The sequence below is a fragment of the Homo sapiens genome, chromosome 6, assembly GCF_000001405.40.
Source record: "Homo sapiens chromosome 6, GRCh38.p14 Primary Assembly".
NCBI lineage: Eukaryota > Metazoa > Chordata > Mammalia > Primates > Hominidae > Homo > Homo sapiens.
This window is the reverse complement of record NC_000006.12, coordinates 80,307,486-80,335,428: the sequence shown is the minus strand read 5'-3', so window position 1 is coordinate 80,335,428 and position 27,943 is coordinate 80,307,486. Positions and strand designations below refer to the sequence as shown.

The 27,943-nt window shown below is 37.6% G+C and overlaps 1 protein-coding gene across 19 annotated transcripts in view; it reads right to left on the bottom strand.

Annotated features, from left to right (window-relative positions):
• The window catches only part of BCKDHB (branched chain keto acid dehydrogenase E1 subunit beta), a 360,067-nt gene that overhangs the window by 131,248 nt on the left and 200,876 nt on the right, over nucleotides 1-27,943 (bottom strand). Inside the window, exon 10 of one of the 19 annotated variants that reach the window (XM_005248756.6) lies at nucleotides 1-27,943. This exon is cut by the window's left edge and continues 7,212 nt beyond it. The exons of the other annotated variants lie outside the window; for them this stretch is intronic. Coding sequence (XP_005248813.1) covers nucleotides 27,899-27,943 — 45 coding nt within the window. The 3' untranslated portion in view covers nucleotides 1-27,898. 19 annotated transcript variants of the gene reach the window in all.

Sequence of the window (27,943 nt, the reverse complement as noted above, 5' to 3'; positions counted from 1 at the left end):
GTGGAATTTCCTTAGAATGTGGAAGCATAATGATAAACATAAGCGACTTGCAGCACTGGGTCATCTCATGAACAAATCGCTCTCTGTAAGGTAGGATTTCTGATTTGCTTGGCACCAAGAAATGTAAAATACTCCTGAAAAGTGGCTTTTGATGATCATACAAAGCATTCAATTTTTCTTCTTTTTTTTTTTTTTTTCCCACAAAATTCTTCATCTAGCAGTCTTAACACCACCAAATGGTGTTCTGAAGACAGAAATCAATCCTGGCTAAAGCAACCAGACAATTCTTTTGTCTCACGAAACAGAAAACATATTCTTTTAGAATTTGAAAGATTAGAGCTACATTAAGATTTCTCCTAAAACTTGTTACTGTCCCAATTTTGCAACCTGTTTTTAAGTTTGAAGACTAATTACAAAACGAAACTACCAGAATAGAGTGATTTCTCCCTCTCTGGCACCATCTTTCTAAAAAGTATGAGAAGCCAGACAGTTTTTGAAAGGATTAAATTAGACAAAATAAAAAGTATATATATATACATATAAAAAATGATGACTGAAATATTTGCTATTTTACAAATTGTAATCTTTTGATAAAACAGTTTTATTTTACTGCTTTTTCCCTTCTCTTTAAATATGCTAAATTTCTTTTAGTGTATGTTTAAAAGAATGCAAAGGACTTGCTAAACATAAAAAAGACAAGAAAAGGGGGAGGGGGGAATCTATTTTTATCTACACAATGCCAAAAGAGATGTACCAATGTTTTTACTAAAATTAAACTTTTTTTTTTTTTTAACAGTTAATCTTGGGTGCCATAGCAACACAGCCTTTAAAGCTTGGTTTTGCTCAGTGAATAAATCAGACCAAGTCATTTTTCAGCAGTTTAATTCCAGTCACCAGATCACTGCAATTTTACTAATAAAGCACAGCAGAAATAAATGTTCTATACTATCATCATTAGGGAAATGTAATCAGAAATTTGTTAATTGAACCCCATTAGTAAATTTATCTTTGTACTCTCAAAGTTTAATAATTGAACAAATTAACAAAGCAAACAAGTTTCTGGCAGGAATATCTGACCTAAGTAAGAAAAAATTGCTTGAAATTGCCCTATTATTTATATGCAGATGATTTTTGCTAGCATGATGAGTTCAAACTATTCATTAAAACACATCTAGCAATTGTAATTATTGTTTGTATCCAATGGAAATAAAATTCAGAATTCAAAATATACTTTTCTACTATATTTACCCTATGGTTCAACTTTAAATTTGGTTAGTATTTTATACAAAGAAGTCTTTCAGATTGAATGTCTTAATTTGCATGCACACATTTTCACATTCAAATTTCAAGAACTGGGAGACATTTCAGAATTAGGGGAAAAATACACATGCCTCCTTTTTTACTCCCATAATTGGGTAAATGGTATGCTGATAAGATGAGCCCAGTTTTATACCTATTTTCACAAAGTACATATTACATGCTCAGTATAGACAAATTTCTAATAAATCTGATAAAACCATTGATCCATTAATGAAGAGGTAGTTAGTGACTGGAATCTGGTTCTGGATACTTTCATAGTTAAGTATAAAATATAAAATTAAAAATGCCCAGAGATACTATTTATTAATAAACTTAGGTAAACTAAATGTATATAGTTCATATAAAAAGCTATTAGTCACATATTTTGTTTAGATGAACCAGGGCATTTACTTAATAATTTTTATCTACTTACTTGGGGCTAAACTACATAAATTCAATCATGTCCCTCAATTAGGAATTACAGGCTACTAGAGATACAGGAGTTTGTGTATTTGTCATACACCAAAGATAATGACTTATATAAGCACCCATGGACACGCAAACAATTCCGTGCATAATTGGCACATCCCATCCTGGCGGAAATCCAGAGAAACAACATGGAGGCATATAGAAAAAAAATGTATTTGCCCATATGCCTGTTTTAAAAAAGGAATATGTGCATGTGTACAAAGAACAAAAAAACCCAGCTATTTAGTTACCCAGACTAAATAGTAACCACACAGATATTATTTAATCATAAATAAAAATAGCTGTTTATATAGTCTCCTTTAATCCTTTCAACAACTTTATGTAGTAGTAAAGACAAGAAACTGAAGCTGGGAGAGGTTAAGTGAGGTGACCACTATCACACAGGTGTACAACATTTGCTGGTATATGCACCAAGGCTCCTGGTTAATTTTAGGTGCACTGCATAAGACTTCAGGTTTAAGTTTTCGTAAAAGTCTTGCTTGGATACAAGGGGAATTCTGTACTTAGTGCTATTATTGTACCTATGAAAAAGAGACTAGTAGAATTATCTGCATGTTTATGTCAAGTCCAATAAGGATTTTAAAAACATTTATAAAAAGCTTAGCCGTTTAATTCCTTTTTGGGGGAGCTAGGGGGTCGGTCATTGGGGAATACAGGATCTCTTTAATCAGAGTTACAGTAGGTTCCGTACGAATTTGTACTTTTTTTTTTTTTCTTTTTAGTGCTTGCTGGGAAGATGAGCAAGTAAGAGGAAGGATGGACATGGGTGGAACTTTCTGATTAATTCCTAGCCGTTTGCCTGCATGCAGGGCATGAGCTGCCACTTGAGTTCTAAAACTGGTTTTGAATTCTGATTTGAACCTGATTCTGACTTGAGATTTGATGGTGAACATATGGTAGGATGTAAGTTTGAAGGTGTTTTTTTTTTTTTTTTACTATAAGGGTAAAAAAAATCATCAGAGTGCTTCATCAATAAATTAAACTTGTTCCCTCTCATTTATTTCCTTATTTATGGCTAGACAAATTTAGGTAACTAAGTAATTTGATTAAAATGTGACAACTTTTTGACAGATTAGAAAATATTTTACATAAACATAGTTTACAAGTTTTATCCTAGCCTTAACTTAAACTGGAATATAAAATTTAACCTCTCCTCTCAGTATTTTACAGCTATTCTCCACAGTTAATTCACTTTGTAGAACTCTAATACTAAAGAACAAACTTCAGGAGTATTTAAAGAAATGTCTCGAGTATAAAATTAAATTCATTTTTTTTCTTTGCAATTAAAGCAACACATACCAGAACAAGCCATTGCAATTAAATTAACCTTAAAATGTAAATACAAGTGCAGTATAGGATCTCACTGTCTCAGACTGCACTCTCCAGCTTCAAGTGGTGGTTATTGGCACAGCCCTCACGGCTGGCACTGGGGTGTTTATTAAAGAGCTGTGGGCTCTCATGAGAGGTGTAAAGCTAGTTGTACACACATAAGCGCCATCAAGCAGACATGGGCACATGCTGATGGATCAATCCCCTTGCACAGGTCTCAGTTGTCTGAGACAAGCATTTCAGTCATCCCTGCGAAGCACAGCTTTTAAAAACTCTTCAAAAAATTATATATGCATATAATACATCTGGGTTTATGGTGCATTAAATTTCATCATTTTCAATTCCTAGTCCCCCCCAAATGAGCATGCTTACAATTGACATAACAAATAACCAACCCCCAAGGATTTTCTTTAGGTTTCTTCAAATGCTAATTATGTAGCAAATCTAATTAAGCTCAAGTGAATCACTTCAGCAGTAGGTACTTTGGTTACTTCATAAATGCCAAAAGGGATGAGAAGTGTCTATTCTCCCTCCAAAGCAGTCATGCTGTGTGCCAAACTGATAACTGTTAAACACAGCTGCAGAGCAAATGTGCAGTTTTGGTCCTGTAAATACAGTGTTCACACATCAACCTGCGCTGTGAGTGATGTAGAATTCAGAACAACCGACTGCAGATTGGCTCATGTTACATGAGTATTATAGATGAGTGCTGTTTCACCCAGCACAGCTTGAGCAGATTTTGATGGGCCATGAAAGTTCCCTCTACCTAAGAATATATACTGAAACTCTAAAAACCCCAAATATTGATAAATTTATTGGATCAACATCTGGTTGAAGTGGTTTGCTTTTAAGCTCCATAGCTCACAAGAATAAAAGTATAAAGGTCATTTTGTGTGTCTGAGAGCACATTTATGGAATGGTTAACACAAAAATCTATTATTTAATGTCATCCCTGAAGAAATATATGCTGTCTTTATTATAAATGTTTTTCCTTTAATTCCAGTAGGTAAAAGTGCAAAACAAACCTATAAGCAAATCTAAGCTAAAATAAACTCTTTTTATTTTAGAAACTCAATTTCCATGGAAGGAAATCCTTTTCAGAGGGGCTCTCTCAACTGGGTGGGTTGCCGGATGCTTAAGGCCATGACTGCATTCCCTCCAGAGGCTGTTAGATCACTATGGCAACTAACTTTTCCCTATCAATAAGCAAGAGCTACAAACGCTAATATTCTGAAAAAGCCATTTCCTTTTCTGTGGCATTAACAATATAACCTAGTTTCAAGATAGAAATATACCTCTTTTTGTGCAAAACGATTATCTTTGCTGGTAATTACTAGAATTCAGCTTTGCAAATAAATGCAAAAATAGCAAAATCAGCCACTGTACTTCAGTTTCAAAACAAGGTAAAATTTGTGACATAGTAATCTAAGGATGGTACAGCTAAAGTGGGTTGGGTGTGTAGGTCTGGGCAGAAAAAAAATTGGGTATTTTAGGAGCAAATGTCATATGAGAAGGAAAACTGACAAGAAAACAACACATGCTTCCACGTAGCTCTTGGAGTTTCTTAAAAGAAGCACACATTTCAACAGTTATATTTCATACCTGTAGTTGTTTCTAGATATCTAATTCTTACTGTGTAGGGTAACAAATAAATTGACATTTTCCAAATTAAATACATATCCTTCCTATTTAGGGAGGTATTTGCCAGCTTTGTCTTCACTGGTTCGAGTATCAACAGCTAAATCTCTTAAGTGGTGTCTCATTTTAGGTATGCAAAAACATCTCCAAGTATCACATACACAGATTTACAAGCCCAAATGGATCAGAGGTACAATGACTGACATGGAGCAGGGATCAGTAAATATTTGTGAATGCATAAATATAGATTAAACAAACAATTCCAGTTTGTATTTCTATTCTGTATCATCCTGGAGTATTAATGAGCTTTGCTACTGATGAGGCCAAATATATATATATGTCAGCAAGACAGGAAGTAGGGTGTGGATGCTTTTACTTCTTAGCAATTCCTGAACCTTCAACTCATCCACTAGATGCCACACTGGTGCCATTTTGATCATGTCCCTTTCCTAGATAAAAGGTTTTCCTGGTTCCCCAAAGTTTATTCTTTATCTCTATTTTCTCCACAAAGCCCAGTAAAGACATGCACATGCCTGCCTTCATACCAAAGCTTTTTTTTTTTTATAAGATCACCTTGACACAAGCCTCTCTCTTCTAAAACTCTTGTTTTCCTACACCCTGCTATCTTCACATTCTACTTTTCAAAGTCAGCTCAAATGCCCTTCTCCACGAGCCTTTAGGATGTTGGTACTGATCTTTTTAAAAATGCATTCATGTTTCAATCACTTATTAATATGTGAGTGTCCACAATGTCCCTATCCTCATAGAGTTTTATGTTTTAGTTGGGGGAAGGTGTTTGAGGAGTGCTAAAAAGGAAGTAAGTAAGGGGTCTGTGATAGAGACTAACAGGGAGCTCTGAGTTGCACAGTATGCTCAGGAAAGGGCTTTCTAAGGTGGTGTCATTTGAGAAGGAGAAACCAGATCTGCAAAGAACCCAGGAGAAGCACTCCTGCCAGGTCACACAGCAAGTACAAAGCTAGGAATGCAGAAAGGAGCCTGGTGAGATCCAGTTATTGAGAGAAGGCCTATGAAAGGGCAGCACCAGCACAGGGAGGAGGGGGAGACACCCAAAGTGGGACAATGGAGCAGTAGGAAGCAGGGGACAACCAGATGCAACCACAGTGTCTGATGGCCAGTTGACCAGCCCTGCCAGGAAGACAGTAACAGATTGTCTTCATACTTTACATGGCTATATTTTATAGAATATATACAGGGGTAGCTAGGAAGCATTACAAGACTCTCCAGGAAACCTCTCAGGGTTCATTTATAGGATACCCAGAAATATCATTAGATGTGAGTAATATTTTTGCTGGTAATCTAAGTGAGACACAATACAGTGAGTGGTAAGTCAAACACACTATCAATATGAGCAGATCCTATGTTTTTGTAATTTCATGAAAATTATTTTATTCAGTAAAAAAGTTTTTAAGGAGTAATACTAAAATGCCCATTTCTCAGAAACTTAGAAAAATTAAAATAGGGGATTTTAGAATTGAAAGAAGTTAGTCACTGTAGTTTGTAAGTAATTGGAATCCTTTCTTGGCTACTATTCAAGTATTTTTTCTCTTCTAGTAATCTAATATATTTATTACCATATCTAGTGCCTTAAAGATATCAATTTCCCATTTACTCACACTACTGGTTTCCACTCCCTATTTCTTACCTCTTTCAGTATTTTTTAAATGATTATGTATTGTAAAGAAAAAGGCTCAAAATTGAGCAACCTAGCAACATGCACAAAGATTGTATTTTTATAAATGTTGTCTATTGTATCTTTGGCAAGGAGTAGGAATCTACCGTGGAGAGAAACAGATTTTCATCTGCTTTATCTAGGGGCAGTAAAGGAAAACCTTTCTCCCTCATTGACATTCTCTCTGTGTTTTCAGTCACTAAGGCTGATTAAAATACAGCAAATTCTGAGCTAGTACCATAATAATTTTGCTACCTAGCAACTTGGGGTAATTGCAAGTTAGTCTAAAAATGAAGGCAAAATAAAATTAGAAAGTTTTCTGTATACCCAATTATACAACGTTCAGGAGGGTATATTTGTTTTCCCTTAGATTCCGATTTATGAGATTTCTGATTGTTTGAAAATTCTACTATGTCGCCTCTAGATATGCACTGATCTCTTATAAAGTATAAGTTAATTCCAATCAGCTAACTTTTTATGTTGTGAAAAATGTTCCCTTTGGGAAAAACTAAAGAATGACAAAACATCTCAACTTCTTTGGGTTTAGGGCTAATATTGTATTAGAAAGGAGACGAGAGTCCTTGTCCTGAATCTGTTATCAACTAGGTGAGTGACAAGACAGTGTAGCTCTCCCTTTTCCACTCAATCAGCCACACTGCCAGTGTACACTGATCAGCATGATAATAAAGAAAATCAAACTCCAGTAGCTAAAAGAGTAAATGCCCTTCCTGAATCCTTTTAATAGAATATATCGTAGCATGCAATGTCTGGCACAAAGCAGGCATTCAACAAATCAAAGTTTACCTGCAAAATCTAGTTTTCCCTTATCTTAATATCTCTCAGGCTGGGAGAATGAGAAGGGCTTGAAAGTCCTTAGTCCCTCAATACTGGTAACAGAAACATAGTCTGAACAAAAAGAACTTCAGCCCTTGGTTCTTGACAAAGCTCAACTCAGATGGTCGTCAGGTGACCATTTTAATACTAAAAGGCAGACAAAAAGAAAAGAACATACAGATGGTCACAGAGAAAAAATGAAAGGAAGGAAGGAAGGGAGGGAGGGGAGGGGAGAAGGGAGGGGAGAAAAGGGGAGGGGAAAAGGGGAGGGAAAAAAGAGAAAGGAAGACATTAAGAAACACCAAGGACCTTATGAAATCATTAAACACTTTTTTAAGAGGCATTATTCTGAATAAATGCTGAAGGGGGCTAACTTCATAGTAGCGAGATCACAAAGTACATAAAAGCTGGCCATATTGGTATAATATTACCACCATAAACAAAATGGGTGGGGAAAGACATCTTGAAAGAGAAGTATGAGAATTCCTCAAATACGAGGTACAGAGAGGGCAGAGAAAACACTATTTATTTTGTAATAAAAACCTAAAAAGTTGGACGAACTCTTTCATGGTGAAATGCAAAAGACTGCAAGTTTCCTGAGACCTTCCCAGCCTTGTGGGATTGTGAGTCAATTAAACCTCTTTCCTTTATAAATTACCCAGTCTCAGGTATGTTGTTATAACATTGTGAGAATGAACTAATACAGTCCCCAAATTAAGAAATGTTCAACTTAAAAATTTTTTGATTTTACAATGGTGCAAAAGCAAAATGTATTCAGTAGAAACCGTACTTTACTCATACAACCATTCTGTTTTTCACTTCCAGTATTCAATAAATTACATGAAATATTCAACACTTCATTATAAAATAGGCTTTGTGTTAGATGATTTTGCCCAACTGTAGGCTAATGACCACACTTAAAGCATACAAGGCTAAGTTACAGGTTAGGTGTATTAAATGTATTTTTGACCTACGATACTTTCAATAATGAGTCTACTGGAAGGTAACCCCATCATAAGTTGGGGAGCATCTGTACTGTTTTTGCAACTTCCTGCTGGCTTATACTTATGTCAAACTTAAACAATTTTTTTTTAAAACATAGGCACAGGTTAAAAAGAGTACCTTGCTAATCTGAATCTTACGATAACAAAGAAGGCATATATATGAGAAGGTAGAAAGGCTGGAAATTGGAGTCAAGTAATAAACAAGGCTCTCATGTAGTCTGTCAGTAAACATCTGTGTGACTCTGGGCAAGTTACTTACTCTTTTTTTTTCTTTTCTTTTGAGACTGAGTCTCGCTCTGTTGCCCAAGCTGGAGTCCAGTGGTGCGATCTCAGCTCACAGCAACTTCTGCCTCCTGGGTTCAAGCAATTCTCTGGGATTACAGACACAAGCCACAATGCCCTGCTAACTTTTGTATTTTTAGTAGAGATGGAGTTTCACCATATTGCCCAGGCTGGTCTCGAACTACTGACCTCAAGTGATCTACCTACCTCGGCCTCCCAAAGTGCTGGGATTACAGGTGTGAGCCACTGTGCCTGGCCAAGTAACTTACTCTTCTTAGTCTGTTTTCCTCTTTTGTAGAAAGGGTAGTCCTCTATCCTACAAAGTTTCTAAAAATTGGATGTGTTAATTTTAGTGAAATCCAGTACATGATTGGCATACAGTGGATCTTGAAAGAAAAATCAGTTTTCTTGCTCCTATAACCTATACTATACTATGGTGAAACAAAGTGAGAGACAGACATAAAACAGAATTTCATAGGTCAACAATAAAGGTCTCAAATGCCAAATCTAAGTGATGCCTCAGCCTGGAGGATTACAGAGAAGATCTCCAAGAATACCGGACTTCTTTCATTCATCAAACAGTAGCATTCAGGCTCTGCTATAGTAAGCTTATGGCGGAGACTCTTTCCTGAAAAATGTATCCCCACATCTTTAAAAATAACGTTTTATTTTGAGGTATTTTAAAATTTAGATAAAAACTATGAAAACAGTACACAGTTTTCCCATATATCCCACAACCGGTTTCCACCATTGTTAATATTATTAACATCCTACACTAATATAGTGTATTTGTCACAATTAATGAACCAGTATTGACACATTAACTAAAGCCCAACCTGTATTGAGATTTCCTCGGTTTTGCTCTAATGTCCTTTTTCCACTCTGGGATCCCATCCAGAATCCAAATTACATTCAGTCCTCTTGTTTCCTTAGTATCCCTTGGCTGCGACAGTTTCTCAGACTTTTGTTGTTTTTTGATGACTTGGACAGTTTTGAGGAGTACTGGACATATATTCTGTAGAATATCCCTCAACTGAAATTTGTCTGGTGTTTCTCTCATGACTGAACTGGGGTTATGAGATTTTTGCTCATGTGTTTTTAATCCCAAACTTTAATCCCAAATTAAACAGAAGTAATTGAAGTTTGACAATTTAAACTTCCAAAACTAGCAACAGGTTTTCTGCTCATTGTCTAGTTAAGAAACTGCTTTGAGATACCAAATCATTTCTTAAGAATGTGATCACCACCATCAAATGGATTAACTCAAACATGTGTCATTTACATTGTATACAAAACAGTCCTAAAATTAATAGTTATGGGCTTTATCTTAAACAGTTTTTAGACTGTTAACTATTTTATTTCAACTGCTAATGTCATTTTGCAGGAGGCTTTGAGAGTCATTTAAAATTCTTACTAGCATTTGTTCCATTTTTCAGACAAATAGATTGCAGGGTCTTAAATGACATACCTAGCAATTACATTTTTCTATAAAATAGTAACCAGAAAAGGTAAAAGCCACACATTTGCCTGATAATCTCCAGAAATGTAATTATAGAAGTCCTAGATTCTGCCACAACATCAACAATGTGAAGTAATGATTTTTTCAAAAAAGGATCAGTCAGTAAGATGTGCTACAGACTGCTATATGCTACAGTGTTTAAGTTAATAAACCATGTTTGATCTAGTAAATTATTTGATGTTTATTATATTATATTCTAAAACACCACAGATTTTTTTCTCTAAATATTTGATGCTCAGAAAAATATCAGTACTATATAGTACTTTCTATATGTTATTCAAAACCGTCCCCATACAAGACCACTCATAATTTGCACATGTAAAATAACTGATTGCATTGAATCACTGTGACTTTTACATATATAGTGGGTAGTACTGGCTGTCTACCAGCATCCTTTCCCATCTTCCTATGTACTTTCTTGATTGACTTCACAAATGAGCATATTCCATTCCCCCAGCCTCAGTTACTAGTTGAAATACGACCTTAATGGTCTAATCAGGGTGAATTCAGAACTCTTGCTGAGAACTGCTGGAGCCATATGGCCACCATGAGGGAAGTCAACTTTGAGATGCTCTGTCACCCAGTTTAAGAAAGAAAAGGACGAGGAGCAGAGGGAGCAGGATAGCAGTATTGTAGACAGGGGCTGGGGAGAGAAGAGAGAAGGGAGGGTAGTGAGAAAGGGAAAGGTGTATCAAAATTAGGAAGTTTTGCCAAATGCATGTTCATCCCTGGTTCCTAAATTGCTGATACACTGCCCTAGGGGAGTAGCTGAGACTCACTACTATATATGCTAATATATATATATATGCTAGAATGTTCTTTCTCAGGTATGTTGTGTTTCCTGCTAATTCCTTAAGTTACAGTCCCATCTCTTTTCTGCCTTTCACTACCAAAACTTATCAAAATAAGTCTACATCTCCTGTCCTGATTTCTTCCTCTCCCTCTCATTCCTACCTAATCAGGCCATACAACACTGTCCTATAGTAGCTCTCATACTTAGCTGCCCATTAAGATCACCTGAAGGGCTTTAAAAACAGATGCCTAGGTCCCACCTACAGAAAGTCTTATTTAATTATTCTTGGGTATGGTCACGGTATCAGAATTTTAAATGCTGGGAAATTGTAATGGATAACCAGGACTGAGAACCAGCTCACTGCTGAATAGCTATTATAAACGACCTCTGAATGACTTAATTCAGTGATTTTTTTCTGAGCTGCCTCTACTGTAAGATGAAAGGGTGGGGGAAAGTCACCATATATAAAAAATAATTTTGGGCCGGGCACGGTGGCTCACGCCTGTAATCCCAGCACTTTGGGAGGCCGAGGCAGGTGGATCACGAGGTCAGGAGATCGAGACCACCCTGGCTAACACGGTGAAACCCCGTCTCTACTAAAAATACAAAAAATTAGCCGGCCGTAGTGGCGGGCGCCTGTAGTCCCAGCTACTCCGGAGGCTGAGACAGGAGAATGGCGTGAACCCGGGGGGCGGAGCTTGCAGTGAGCCAAGATGGCGCCACTGCACGCCAGCCTGGGCAACAGAGCGAGATTCCGTCTCAAATAATAATAATTTTGCTTTTTCTCACTAATAATTCCATAAGGTTGGAAAAATTGAAAAGGAGCAGCACAATCAGTGTGAAGAAAAGAGCTCTAGGAATATGAAAGTGAGTTATGAGGGCAAAAGTGTGAGAATTCTAAAAGAAATACTGGATGAGAAAGTGTATGTTAGGGAAATACTGAAGGGGAAAGAGTTAGAAATCACTGTATGAAAAACTGGCCAACATACAAATTCCTCTCTACTGTAGAACAGTTTGAATTGGTCTATACGCTAGAATGTAAGCCCATTTACTAAACACTGATTAAGAAAAGATCTTTAAGGGGTTTTTAGTGTCTTAAAATTCATGTATGTTGGGAGGCGATATCTATGTATTAAAAGAAAATATAAGCTCACAATTTATCACTTTTCTGTGCAGTTACAGAAACAAAATTGATAATTAAAAAAACAAAAGTCAATTTGTACTATGTGTTCACAAACAACACAATACTTCAAAAGGCATTAATAGCAGAAAACAAATGAAGAAAGTGGGTTTGTGTAACCAAACACAAAAATATTATTACAAACAGACAGCTAACACCTATGGAGCATACAAGATGCTGGTATTAAGCATGTGACATTATCTCATTAATTGTCATGAGCCCTATGAGAGGGCTGAACCTTCATCATCCCCTTCAGAGATGAGGAAACTGAGGTTCAGAAAGGTAAGTGACTAGTCCAGTTATGCACTTTGCATGTGGCAGAACAGTATCTGAAATCAGCTCTGTCCAATTCCATAGCATGAGCTCTTAACTGTTATGCTCCACTTTTATAAATTATAATTGATTCATCAAGATTAGTTAAAAAATTTTTAAACCCACAGGCATTCTCTGCTGTATGCAAAAAAAAAAAAAAAAAGAAAAAAGAAAAAAAAAGAAGAATCATTAGGAGAAGTAACAGAGAACATTTGGGGTAATTATAAAACAGCAAGAACAGAATGCAAGAGTTAGTTTAACATAAGATGTAAAATCCAGAGTCAGTCACTCTGGGGATTCTCCATAAATGTTTATTGGTGACGATGGAGGAATTAAAATTTTATACTATTCTTGATGCATGCTATTTTTGCAACTTTAAAGTCCTTCTTTTGTGAGTATACTTCCCATTAATTTTGCTTTTCATTTACACACAACTGTAGGTCACTAAGCCAAAGTCTCCTCTAAGTAAAGATGGTTAAGGGGATCCCAATTTCTAATAAATCCACTTTAGAAAACACACGTCTGCCAGGTGTGGGGGCTCATGCCTGTAATCCCAGCACTTTGGGAGGCCGAGGCGGGTGGATCACGAGGTCAGGAGTTCGAGACCAGCCTGACCAACATGGTGAAACCCTGTCTCTACTAAAAATACAAAAATTAGCCAGGCGTAGTGGTGCGCGCCTGTAATCCCAGCTACTCGGGAGGCTGAGGCAGGAGAATCACTTGAACCTGGGAGGTAGAGGTTGCAGTGAGCCGAGATTGTGCCATTGCACTCCAGCCTGGGCAACAAAGTGCGACTCCGTCACCAAAAAAAAAAAAAAAAAGAAAAGAAAGAAAGAAAACGCCTATGTCTAAGAGAGAATGTGTGAGAAGCTGGCTTCCATGGACCTGATGAATGGTACCATTACAGTAAAGAAAAGAGCAATGATGGCAGTATTCTGCATAAGTACATACCTTTTAGTTGTTAAGTAATATACATATAAATGCTTTATACAGTGAAGACCCAAATAGGAGCATCCCTCCTCTTAAATGAATGCTCCTTGGAGCAAGTACCACATTCTATTAATCATTGCTTCTCTTGTGCTCAGAAAAGGCAGTAGATTCCATGTAAGTATCTTCTGAGCTTACTTAATATTAAATACTACAATACATATATGAAGTCAGAAAACACATTTGATTTCATGATGGTATTTTTCCATCAATTGCAGGTGCAATTGTTTACATTTTACAAAATGTAATTGGAAGTAGAGAATAACGGAAAGACAGAAGAGAATCATTTTATGTTTTGATTACTATTGAATATTTTATAGTTCCCAAGGATATTAGACATTAGTTTCCTGTTTCATATTAGTTGGGATACACTTAAAACTATTTTTCATTTAAGGGATTTAAAAAATTCCTGTTTTAAACTTTAGGCAAAGTTCAAGTCTCTGGAAGTTTCAGTGGATTCACGAAAAATAAGTTATGGGCATGTTGATAAAAAATATAAACAGGTGTAGGTTTAAAAGGACCACTAAGAATTGAACATAGGGCCCTTATCAGCCTCACACATAAGGAATCCAACACCATCCTCATGACCACATGATGGCAACTTGTCAATGTCCACATGAATTACATTACCACAACCATTCCACAGGAGTCCTGTTCAGATAATCCACCTGGACGAGGGATAGGACTATAGAAACATGGTTTTCCACTACAGGTTATTCAGTAGAATTGAGGAAAGATCCCAAGTTATGAGTCAGGAGACATATGATATTCTGTTCTCTAGATCTCTTCCCATCCAGATACTTAAGGATGGAAAATGTGTACTGCTCCTAACCACTACTGATATTCTGTACCCAAGGCAGACATCACTAATTATAGCATCCTTCTCAGCACACATTCTAGGAAGCACCTCCCAAGAGTGACAACAGCTGCATGGGGAGAAGTTATCGGCCCTAGATGAACTATATTGTCTAATTTATGATCTGTTAAAAAATAACACCACTTTCATAATATAAGCTTGTTTAGGTTAGGATAGAATCTATCCTGGGTGTTCTTGGTATTTTTTACTGGCTCTGTACTAATTTCATATTTTTTCAGGGGACAGGGGATATCAGAGGTATAGCAAGAAAATATCTCATTTTTATGAGATTATTGAAGGTTTAATTTACTCAGTGGTCAAAATAAAAATCGAAGAAGGCATTATACTTTCATTTACATTTCAGAAATATGGCCATTGTTGTACATGTATAAGTGACATAAGAAAATATTTGCTTTCACTGTGTTTCTTCACCATCGCTACCATAACCAAATGTTGATAATTTTTATTAGAATGTCATTTGCAAAAATCATAATTGCCTATCAATTTAAAATTGTAAAACCAATATAACTTTTGCAATTTTATGACTATGCAAATATTAGGAGCACAAATTTCTCTGTTTTTGTAAAAATAGGACTGATTCTTCTACAGGCCTCCACCCTGGAAACGGTCGCTGAATTGTGAACTCTGGATACTTAAGTAGAGCCTGAAGTTGAGAGACTTAGATTTGGGTCCTATTAGTGAAGAACTAGAAATGAAGTTTTAATAATGTTTTGCAAACTCGGAAAGATAGAAAATAGAAGCAAACATGAAAAACACTACAATTATCAAGATGTATGAAAAAAGAGAAAGGACATAAAAGGCTGTTTAGATGATACAAATTCTTAACTTTTATGTCAGAAATGGTCAATCATAAGGTAGAAGAAAGAACATATTATTGTGACTGTAACCAACAGGTGAAATAAGAAATTATCAAAACCTGTTGCGTCTGTGGAACACAAAAATTTTTTTAAAAAGATATTTGTCTATGTACATTATAAAGCAAGAACCCAGAACTATATAAGGACATATTTGCTACTATTCACAATATGATACTGTAACTAATAAAACTAAAATTTAAAACATGTAAACATATCCTATTTAACTTGGTAGGAAAAATAACTTATTTATAATGGTTTTATAAAAGCTGAATACATGCTTTCATTTTCATATAACTCAGATTTCCTTTTGCTTATTTGAGACTAAAGGGAAAATACTCAAATTTTAGTATATCTTAAATTTAGCAGTATTTACATTAGGTAACATTTATACAATGTTTCCTATTTCACTGAAGATTTCTAAGCAGATCTAACATGTGGCTGACAAACCAATCCCTAAAAGAACTGATCTTATGTTTTGTCTATTAATATTTTAAATGAAGCTACTTTGAACTTCACTTTTATTTAAGATTATAATTATACACCTTAATCAGAGAGAAAAATCAAAGTTCCTTTTAGATTTACAAATACATGCATAATTTACAGAAGAGAACAATGTGAGATCTTCCTAATATAAATTAAGCATTATAAATTATCTTATTGGAAACTGACAACGCCTACACCTGAATACACATATTCTTACTCTGGAAGTTGTATACACCTGCCTTCAAAATGCAACCACTTTTGCAGTACAACCAGAGGGCTACACGTTTCCTTAGGCATTAGAGGCAACTCCTAAACCGTAAGTAAGAGGGAGAAGCTGGCATGAATTAAAAAACTTGTTTCATATGATGATGTCAGAAAAGTGATGAGTAATTCAAGAGAGATTGTAGTAATAAATGGTGACAGTGATACATTACAATAATATTGTTAAATATTTTCTGGGTAGTAGGTCCCATTCTAAAAGCTTAACTTTAATAATTCATTCAAACCTCACAATTCAGCAAGTTGGGTACTACTAATGGAAAAACTAAGGATTAAAGAGCTAAAAAATTCATATAAGCCCACATACCTAAAGAGTCAGCCAGTATTCTGATTCCTACTGATTCCCTCTAAAAACAGTGAGAAGAGCAATGCAGATTGTTTCATGTAATTCTTTTCCACATAAAAAATTCCACAAGCATAGCTTATTCCATAAGGCCTGAGTGAAAGGAGAAGACTTATCTGGTTAGTAGTGTCATGACATCTGCTGCTCAACCCTAGCTGCCTCTGGACAACTTTCCCTGAATCCCTGAGGGAAATTTAAGGGCTTATCTTTCCTGTGCTCCCATTATAACAGATAACTAACACACATATATAAATATACACATATGTCAACCCTTGGTATCCATAAAGGATTGGCTTGAGAACCTTCCATAGATACCAAAATCTGAAGATGCTCAAGTCCCTTTTATAAAATAGTGTAATATTTGCATATAATCTATGTATATCCTCCCATATACTTTAAGTCATCTCTAGATTATTTACAATACATAATATGATGTAAATGATTGTTACACTGTGTTGCCTAGGAAACAATGACAATAAAAAAAAAGTCTGTACATGTTCAGTACAATTTTTTTTTCTAATTTCTTTTCTTTTTTTTTTTTTTTTTTAAGAGAGAGAGTCTCACTCTGTCACCCAGGCTGGAGTGCAGTGGCACAATCTTGGCTCACTGCAACCTCCACCTCCCGGGTTCAAGCAATTCTCCTGCCTCAGCCTCCTGAGTAGCTGGGACTACAGGTGCATGCTGCCATGCCCGGCTAATTTTTATATTTTTAGTAGATGGGGTTTCACCGTATTGGTCAGACTGGTCTCGAACTCCTGACCTCAGGTGATCCACTTGCCTTGGCCTCCCAAAGTGCTAGGATTACAGACATGAGCCACCACGCCTAGCCCCCAATTTTTTTGATCTGTGGTTGGTTGAACCCACAGATGAAGAACACAGGGATACATACAGAGGACCAACTGTATATACAGACATCCATCCCACATACAGCAATGCTTGTATTTCATGTCCTTCTCCCTGTTTGACTATTAATTTCTTGAGGGCAGGAGCCATATCTCTATATCCAATTCTCCCCACATCTTGCACATTTGAATGATTAATTGAATAAATAAATTTCAGATCTGGTTTTAGGAGCTCCAAACTTCTCTTTATAGAGGAAAGCTACAATGGGAAGGGTGTTGGGAATGATAAGGTTGTGGATTATTACCCAAACACCCACAATTGTTGGGGTTCCACTGCCATTTCTATAGAGTACAGTGTATATCCTGACACACAGAGATAAAGTTATAGGAAGAACACTGGCAGACTGAGGACCACAGGAGGGAAAACATCTCAAAACAAGACCAAAGACTGCTGGAGGAAAGTAGAGGGAGAGACAGCCAAAATCCAGTCTGTTACACCAATAGAAACAGTCAGCTGAGAAGCCCTGGCCTGGAGCCTGATACACTGGGTTTTATGTTTTTAAAATGACTATATCCTGGGCCCACTGTGGTGAGGTAGAAGAGAAATGGCTAGGTTCCTTCAAGTCACCAGACTAGTGTGGTCTACTAAGGAAAAGAGAAAGGGATTGTGATATGCAGAATAATTGTCCCCAAAATGTCCATGTCCTAATCCTTCGAACTACGAATATGTTACCTTACATGGCAAAAGGGACTTTGCAGGTGTAATTAAAAACCTTGAGATGGGAATAGTAGCCTGGATTACCCAGATGGGCCCAACCTAATCACATGCCTTTAAAATTGGTGAACTTCCCCTAGCTGTGGTCATTGAGCAGATGCTGTGACTATAGAAGAAGGGTCAGCGAGATGCGCGAGATGCAATTTCTGTGGCTTTGAAGACAGAAGAAGAGCCATGAACCAAAAAATGTGAGAGGCCGCAAGAAGTTAGATGGGGCTAGGAAACAGATAGTCCCCTAGAGAATTCTCCAGAAAGGAATGCGGCTCTGTTGACACCTTGATTTTAGACCATTGATATGTGTGTTGGACTCTAAACCTACAGAACTGTAAGACATTAAATCTGTGTTGCTTTAAGTTGGGGGTGTACCCTTTAAGTTTTGGGTATTTTGGAACGGTATTTGGGTATTTTGGCAGCAATAGAAAACACAGATATCTTTGAATTTTAGTCAAGTCTGCCCCTTAAGGGTAAAGGAGAGAAACTGCACAGGCCCTAAGTGTGTATCAGAAGCAAAATCAGAGAGAACGGCCACATCTGATCCAGACAGCTCAACCAAAGATGAAAGCAATTGGAATACAAATGTTTTAAAGAATTAGAGCAAGCCCAGTGAGAGTCCTAATTTATAAAAGGTTGACAGCGTAAATCTTTCTGGAGAAATGCTGCTCTAATTCTAAACCCCACCCTAAGATTCTGTTCTGGGAAGCCTGATTTGAGCCAACTAAGCACATTTGAAAACAATCAGAATAAAAGCCACACTGTTGGGTGCTTCTAAATAGCTTCTGCCCTCCACTGCGATCCAAGGTTGGCATAGTCTATGCATGAAACAAGAAGGCAGTCCACAAAGCTCTGTAACAAAACCAATGTTCAGGCTGCAGGGAAATAATAACTAGCCACTGAGAGAGTAAAACAAATGAGATCAGTTTCCTCTCATTTCTTCCATTCCTTCTAGGCAAAGAAAACAGAAGTCACAAGACAAAAGTTATTGGTATAAAGCCCTTTAAGAATTCCTTGTGGGAAGTACCTTGATTTCATAATTTTCTCCATTTATTAAGAGTAAGGTTAAATAAAGAATGGATATCATAAACATATTTGCTAATATTGTTACCCACCAAATAGTCATATGATATGAACTTAGTGGCTGTGGAAGAAAAGTTCTGATGAAAAGGAGTATATTTTATATTCTTATGAAGAACTGAAATAAAGTCGATGCAAAAGGAAAAAAAGGCTTTGAAAAATAAAAAAAAAGCAGTTTGAGTTTCACTGAATATTTTGTCTCATAATGATACAGAATTGGAATTACTTTTCATACGCAAACAAAATCATTATGATTCAAGGAAATCTAAAACAAGCATGGCTTAAAATCTTAAGATAATTGGACTGTGAATTAAAAAATAATTCATTGAGGTTTATAAATGTTTTAACATCTGTTTTATGATCTGTCAAAGTAAATTATCCTAAACTTGACACTGTACTGCCTAATGAAGCATACCAGTTATTTTCACTGTTTCGGAATCCTAAAATCACAGCATAGGAATGAAACCTTAGAAGTGACCCTAGTCCAACAACTTGCCTGATGGGAGGAAGATCCCCGAAAGATATTTTCACTTTTTAAAAGGCTCTAACTGATACAGCATTTTTCTTTACAGAATCTTTTACAGGCCAGTTAATACTCTAAATTGCGGTGTAAACAGGAAGAAAAGAGAAGGAATTGGTTACTTATTCTGTGCTTACTATATGCCACATATTGTGGTAGGTGCTTTACATATTTTCCATAATTCACTCCTTACACCATGCCAGTGAACTACTAAGAGCCTCATTTTCTAGACGAAGGAAACAGGCCAGTTGCGGTGGCTCATGCATGTAGTCCCAGCACTTTGGCAGGCCGACGTGGAAGGATTCCTTGAGCCCAGGAGTTCGAAGATACAGTGAACTATGATTGTGCCACTGCATTCAAACCTGGGAGATATGGCAAGATCCTGTCTCTAAAAATAAATAAAAATAAATAACTTAAAAAAAAAAAACAAGGGATCGGGGGCCAAGACGGTGGAACAGAAGCAACTGTAGTGCGTGGCACTCACAGAGAGCAACAAAAGGGGGGTGAGTAAATACAGCACCTTCTACTGAAATATCCAGGTACTTGCACTGGGACTGATCAGGAAAACAACTCAACCCAGGGAGAATGAAGAAAAGTATGGTGAGGTGATGGCCCAACTGGGAGTGACATGTAGTCAAGGGAACCCCCACCCCCAGTTAAGGGAAGCAGTGAACGAATGTACAACCCTAAGAAACCACGGATCTTTGCAACCCTCAGATCTGGAGATCCCCTCATGAGCCCATGCCACCAGGGCCTTGGGTCCAACACACAGAACTCTGTGGAGTCTCAACAGAGCGGTTGCTCAGGCAGCACAGAGACCCAGAGCTTTACATACTCTGGCCCCGGGATCCCCAGCAAGGCAGGAGGTTCATACATACCCCTAGGAAGGCGGCTAAATCTAGGGAGCTGAGCAGTGTCAGTTCTACAGGCCCCATTTCCTCACAAGATAAGACCCAGTGGCTTGGAATTCCAGGCAGCTGGAAACAGTGTGGAGGCTGCCTGAGAGGGGATGGAACCCCAGTGGGGAGAGGTGGGCTGCCATCTCTGCAGTTTAAACAACTCAGCCATTCCAGCCCGTGGGCTTTGCAGAGTACAAACGGTCTGGATGAGCAGCGAGTCCCGCCGCACAGCACAGCTGCTTTGCCAGAATGTGGCCAGACTGCTTCCTCAAGCAGGACCCCGATCTATTCCTTCTCGCTAAGTGGGACCTCCCACCAGAGGCCTGAGCTCCCCCTACCAGCCCATATTCTATGGACAGAGGTCTGGTCTCTCCCTCGGACAGAGTGCCTTGCGGGAGGGGCAGGCCACCACCTTGGTTGTTTTGACGACTCAGCGGTTCCAGCCTGCGGGCTTTGAAGAGTCCAAGCTGACCAGGGCAAAAGTGGTTCCACAGCATGGCACAGCTGTTTTGTTGAGGCATTGCCAGACTGCTTCTTTAAATGAGACCCCGAGTTACAAATCCCCCTCGAGGGTGGGTCCTCCCACTTGGGGTCTCCAGCCACCTCCCTCTGTGTACTACAGCTGACAAGAGTTCTAATTTCTCTCTAAGACAGCGGGCATGGTGGGTGGAGCAGGCCACCACCTTTGCTGTTTGGGTTTCTCAGCTGGTCCAGCCTGTGGACCTTGGGCAGCCCAAATGGATCAGGGACAAAAGGGGTCCTCAGTAAAGTACAGCTGCTCCACCAAAACGCAGCCAGATTACTCCTTTAAGTGGGACCCTGATCCCAGTTCTCCTGACTGAGTGACAGCTCAAGCAGACCTGATAGGTATCTACAGAACTCTCTACCCAAATAGAAGAGCATATACATTCTTCTCATTGTCACACAGCATATACTCTAAAATGGATCACATAATCTGAAGTAAAACACTCCTCAGTAAATGCAAAAGTACTGAAATCATAATAAACAGTGCAATCAAATTAGAACTCAAGATTAAGAAAATCACTCAAAACCATACAACTAAATGGAAATTGAACAACCTGCTCTGAATGACTTTTGGGTAAATAATGAAATTAAGGCAGAAATCAAGAAGTTCTTTGAAACTAATGAGAACAAAGATACAAAGCACCACAATCTCTGGGATGCAGCTAAAGCAGTGTTGAGGAGGAAATTTATAGCACTAAATGCCCACGTAAAAAAGCTAGGAAAGATCTCAGGTTAACAAGCTAACATCACAAGAACTAGAACATCAAAAGAACCAGAAAACCAAGAGAAAACAAACCCCAAAGCTAGGAGAAGACAAAAAATAACCAAGATCAAAGATGAACTGAAAAACGCAGCAACACAAAAAACCCTTCAAAACATCAACAAATCTAGGATCTGGTTTTTTGAAAAAATTAATAAAATAGGTCAGGCGCGGTGGCTCAGGCCAGGTGTGGTGGCTCACACCTGTAATTCCAGCACTTTGGGAGGCTGAGGTGGGCAGATCACCTGAGGTCAGGAGTTTGAGACCAGCCTGGCCAACAAGGTGAAACCACGTCTCTACTAAAAATACAAAAATTAGCCAGGCATGGTGGCGGATGCCTGTAATCCCAGCTACTCGGGAGGCTGAGGCAGGAGAATCGCTTGAACCCAGGAGGCAGAGGTTGCAGTGAGCTGAGATCGCGCCACTGCACTCCAGCCTGGGTGACAAAGCGAGACTCCATCTCAAAGAAAAACAAAACAAAACAAAACCACTAGCTACACTAATAAAGAAAAAAAGAGAGAAGATTCAAATAAACACAATCAGAAATACTGGGATATTAAATAATCAGGATATTACCACTGATGCCAGAAATACAAACAACCATTAGAGAATACTATGAACACTTCTATGCACGTTAACTAGAAAATACAGAAGAAATGGATAAATTTCTGGACACATACACCCTCCCAAGACTGAACCAGGAAGAAACTGAATCCCTGAATAGACTAATAACGAGTTCTGAAATTGAGGCAGTAATAAATAGCCTAACCACAAAAAAAGCCCAGGACCAGATGGATTCACAGCTGATTTCTACCAGTGCTACAAAGAAGAGCTTGGTACCATTCCTACTGAAACTATTCCAAAAAATCAAAAAGGATGGACTCCTCTCTAACTCATTCTATGAGGCCAGCATCATCCTGATACCAAAACCTGGAAGAGATACAACAACAAAAAACTTTAGGCCAATATCCTTAATGAACATCAATGCAAACATCCTCAATAAAATGCTGGCAAACCAAGTCCAGCAGCACATCACAAAGCTTATCGATCATAATCAAGCTGGCTTCACCCGTGGGATGCAAGGTTGGTTCAACATATGCAAATCAATATATGTGATTCAGGGCAAAAACAGAACTAACAACAAAAACCACATGATTATCTCAATAGATTCAGAAAAAGCCTTCAATAAAATTCAACATCCCTTCATGTTAAAAATGCTCAATAAACAAGGTACTGAAGGAACATACCTCTAGCTACTAAGAGCCATATATGTATGACAGACCCACAGCCAATATCATACTGAATGGGCAAAAGCTGGAAGCCTTCCCCTTGAAAACCAGCACAAGACAAGGTTGCCCTCTCTCATCACTCTGATTCAACATAGTCCTGGAAGTTCTGGCTAGGGCAATCAGGCAAGACAAAGAAATAAAGCATATTCAAATAAAGAGAGAGGAAGTCAAACTATCTTTGTTTGCAGATGACATAATCTTATATTTAGAAAATCCATCATCTTGGCCCCAAAGATTCTTAAGCTGATAAGCAGCTTCATCAAAGTCTCAGGATACAGAATCAATGCCCAAAAATTACTAGCATTCCTATACACTAACAACAGGCAAGCCAAGAGCCAAATTATGAATGTGAACTCCCATTCACAATTGCCATAAAAAGAATAAAACACTTAGGAATACAGCTAATAAGGGAAGTGAAGGACCTCTTCAATGAGAACTACAAACCACTGCTCAAAGAAATCCAGAGATGACACAAAGACATGGAAAACATTCCAGACTCATTAATAAGAACTGATATCATTAAAATGGCCATTCTGCCCAAAGCAGTTTATAGATTCAATGCTATTCCCATTAACTTACTATTGACAATCTTCACAGAATTAGAAAATACTATTTTGAAATTCATATGAAACCTGAAAAGAGCCCAAATAGCCAAGACAATCCTAAACAAAAAGAACAAGGCTGGAGGCATCAATGTTACTCGACTTCAAACTATACTACAAGGCTACAGTAAACAACACAGCATGCTACTGGTAGAAAAACAGACACACAGAACAATGAAACACAATAGAGAACCCAGAAATAGAACCACACACCTATAACAATTTGATCTTTGATGAACCTGACAAAAACAAGCAATGGAGAAAAAATTCCCTGTTTTATATGGTGCTGGGAGAACTGGCTAATCGTATGCAGAAAACTGAAGCTGGACCCCTTCTTTACACAATATACAAAAATCAACTCAAGATGGATTAAAGAGTTACATGTAAAACCCAAAACTATAAAAACCCTAGAAGAAAACCTAGGCAATAGGACATAAGCACAGGCAAAGATTTCTTGACGAAGATGCCAAAAGCAATTGCAACAAAAGCAAAAATTGACAAATGAATCTAATTAAGAGCTTCTTCACAGCAAAAGGAACCATCAACAGAGTAAACAGGCAACCTACAGAATGGGAGAAAATTTTTGCAATCTATCCATCTGTATTAGTCCGTTTTCCCATTGCTCATAAAGGCATACCCGAGACTGGGCAATTTACAAAACAAAGAGGTTTAATGGACTTGCAGTTCCATGTGGTTGGAGAGGGCTCACAATCATGGGGGAAGGCAAGGAGGAACAAGTCATCTTACATAGATGATGGCAGACAAAAAGAGAGAGCTTGTGTAGGGAAACTCCCCTTTTTAAAACCATCAGATCTCATGAGACTTATTCACTATCATGAGAACAGCACGGGAAAGATCTGCCCCCATGATTCAATTACCTCTCACTGGGTCCCACCCACAATGTGAGATTGGGTGGGGTCACAGCCAAACCATATCACCATCTGAAAAAAGTCTAATATCCAGCATTTATAAGGAACTTAAACAAATTTACAAGAAAAAAAGAACCTCATTAAAAAGTGGGCAAAGGACATGAACAGAAGGACACATCTCAAAAGAAGACATACATGTGGCCATCAAACATGAAAAAAGTGCAACATTACTGTTATCATTAGAGAAATGCAAATCAAAACCCCAATGAAATACCATCTGACACCAGTCAGAATGGCTACTACTAAAACATCAAAAAACAACAGATGCTGGTGAGGTTGTGGAGAAAAGGGAACACTTTTACATTGTTGGTGGGAGTGTAAATTCAACCACTGTGGAAGATGATGTGGCAATTCCTTAAAGACCTAGACACAGAAATACCATTTGACCCAGCGATCCCATTACTGATTACATACCCAAAGGAATATAAATGGTTCTGTTATAAAGATACATGCACACATATATTCAATGCAGTACTATTCACAATAGCAAACACATGGAATCAACCTAAATGCCTGTCAATGATAGACTGGACAAATAAAATGTGGTACATATAAACCATGGAATACTATGCAGTCATAAAACAGAACAAGATCATGTCCTTTGCAGGGACATGGATGGAGCTGGAAGCGATTATCCTTAGCAAACTAATGCAGGAACAGAAAACTAAATACCACATGTTCTCACTTATAAGTGGGAGCTAAATGATGAGAACACATGGACACACTGGGGACAATGACACACACCAGCCTGATGCAGGGCTTTGGGTTGGAGGAGGAAGAGCATCAAGAAGAATAGCTAATAGATGCTGGGCTTAATACTTGGGTGATGGGATGATCTGTGTAGCAAACCACCAGGACAGATGTTTACCTATGTAACAAACCTGCACATTCTGCACATGTACCCTGAACTTAAAAGTTGGAAATTAAAAAAAAAAAAAGAAAATGTTGTATATATACACCATGCAATATCATGTAGTCATAAAAAGGAATGAGATCATGTCCTTGCATCAACATGGATGGAGCTGGAGGCCATTAGCCTAAGCTAATTATTTCAGGAACAGAAAACTGAATACATGTTCTCACTTATAAATGGGAGTTAAACATTGAGTACACATGAACATAAAGAAGGCAGCAAACCACTGAGGCCTACTTGAGGGCTGAGGTTGGCAGGAGGGTGAAGATGGAAAAGCTACCTATCAGTTACTATGCTTATTACCTGTGTGGCCAATAATCTGTACACCAAATCCCCGTGACACACAACCTATATAACAAACCTACACATGTACCCCGATACTAAAATAAAAGTTTTAACAAGTAAAATGGTAAAGAATAAAGCCATTTTAGTATGGAAGAGAAACATTTCACCAGATGGTTAAATAAAGATGGCAAGCCACAAGCTATTCAGTAAAACAAACAAACAAACAAACAAACAAACAAAAAAAACCACAGGCCAAAATACATGAATACTTACTCTTTTGTTAAAATAACAAAGTCATTATTACACAAGTAAATATTTCAAAGATAAATATTTTTATAAAATTAATGATGAGACTATAGAAAGGATGAGACTGTAGAAAGTATGAGACAGAAAAAGTACACAGAATGCACTTTGAATAGCTCCCAATATTAAAATTTATTGTTGATAATCTATACTTTTGGCTGGGCATGGTGGCTCACTCCTGTAATCCCAATACTTTGGGAGGCCAAGGTGGGCAGATCACCTGAGGTCAGGAGTCCAAGACCAGCCTGGCCAACATGGTGAAACCCCTGTCTCTACTAAAAATACAAAAATTAGCCAGGTGTGGTGGCAAGTGCCTGTAATCCCAGCTATTCGGGAGGCTGAGGCAGGAGAATCACTTGAACCTGGGAGGCGGAGGTTGCAGTGAGCCGAGATCATGCTACTGCACTCCAGCGTGGTTGGCAAAAGCGAGACTCCGTCTAAAAAAAAAAACAAAAAACAAAAAAACTATACTTTTAATAGTAGACCACCCCAAAACACAATAGGTTTATTATAAAGAAATATTTTATAGCAAATAATAGCAAGTACACAATAAACTATAGCATTTGGGTACAATTATGAAAATCTATGTGTGGTAGGTATATACATGTGAATGGCAAGGCAAGTTAAGAAGAAAATCTACGGCCGGGTGCGGTGGCTGACACCTGTAACCCAGCTCTTTGGGAGGCCAAGGCGGGCAGATGACGAGATCAGGAGATCGAGACACGGTGAAACTCCGTCTCTACTAAAAATACAAAAAAATTAGCCGGGCGTGGTGGCGGGCGCCTGTAGTCCCAGCTACTCGGGAGGCTGAGGCAGGAGAATGGCGTGAACCTGGGAGGCGGAGCTTGCAGTGAGCCGGGATCACGCCACTGCACTCCAGCCTGGGCGACAGAGCGAGACTCCGTCTCAAAAAAAAAAAAAAAGAAGAAGAAGAAGAAGAAAATCTACCTGTGTTGGGTTTTTTTTCCCCATTTAATCTGAGTAGTACTGTTTAATTATATCTACAAAATTATATACAATAATATAAGATCTGATAGTAACTTTGCTTAATGTATGTAGTAGAAAACATGTTTGAACACACTTTACATTAATAATAAATGTTTAGGGGTATTTTTGCTCTTTTATTTCTTCTGAGGCTTGTAGCAGTGAGTAAACAATCTAAATGGTCAAAAATAGAGGAATATTTAAATTACTATCATATGATGGAATACCTTATGGCCATTAAACACGACTTTTGAACAAGTTAAGAATATGAAACAATGTCCATGATACAATGAAAAATGAAAATAAGCTGGAATCAAAACACACAGCACAATCCCCAAATTGTAAAAATAATACAAATAAACACTTGTATACATAGGGGGGAAATGAAAAAAAATAGCCACTGCTTAGTGGACCTTATAGCTTAGTCTTCCAATTTTGTTCATCTTATTTTATTTTATATTATAATTAATTCATATATTTGTTTTATTTCTCACTAGACTATCAGCTCTTCCAAGGTCAGTGACCATCCCCTTAGTTGTGATTGTAGAATTCTTTGCAGTATCTGGCATTCAAAATTTTTTGCTAGATTAAATTGAATAAAATGTAAAGTAGCCCATGATATTACTTTTGGGAATAATTTTTATGTTTTTAATTTAATTATTTGAAGTTGCATTTGCAGTGTTAAGTAGTCCAAAACACATATAGACACATTCCATTTGAATGGATTATCTACAACTTTGGTAAATTTTATACTCCATTATGAAGTGTGTGCTTCATCTTCTACTAAAATAAATCTGACAATATGGTCTAACAAAAGTCAATCTGGACATTTACACAGTGTTGTGTGTTAAAATAGGCCTAATGTGAATACAAATAATTTTTTTTACATTTTCTATAATGGCTAGATATACTTTATGTTTGTCACTTTTTCTGTTGACGATCTTGTTATTTTTCACTAGAAGATTTTTTTTAGTCATTCATGGACCCATCTGGAGACGTTTAAGTTTTAATTTACTGAAAATTTAACAGAGGTTCTTTCATGGGGGTATAT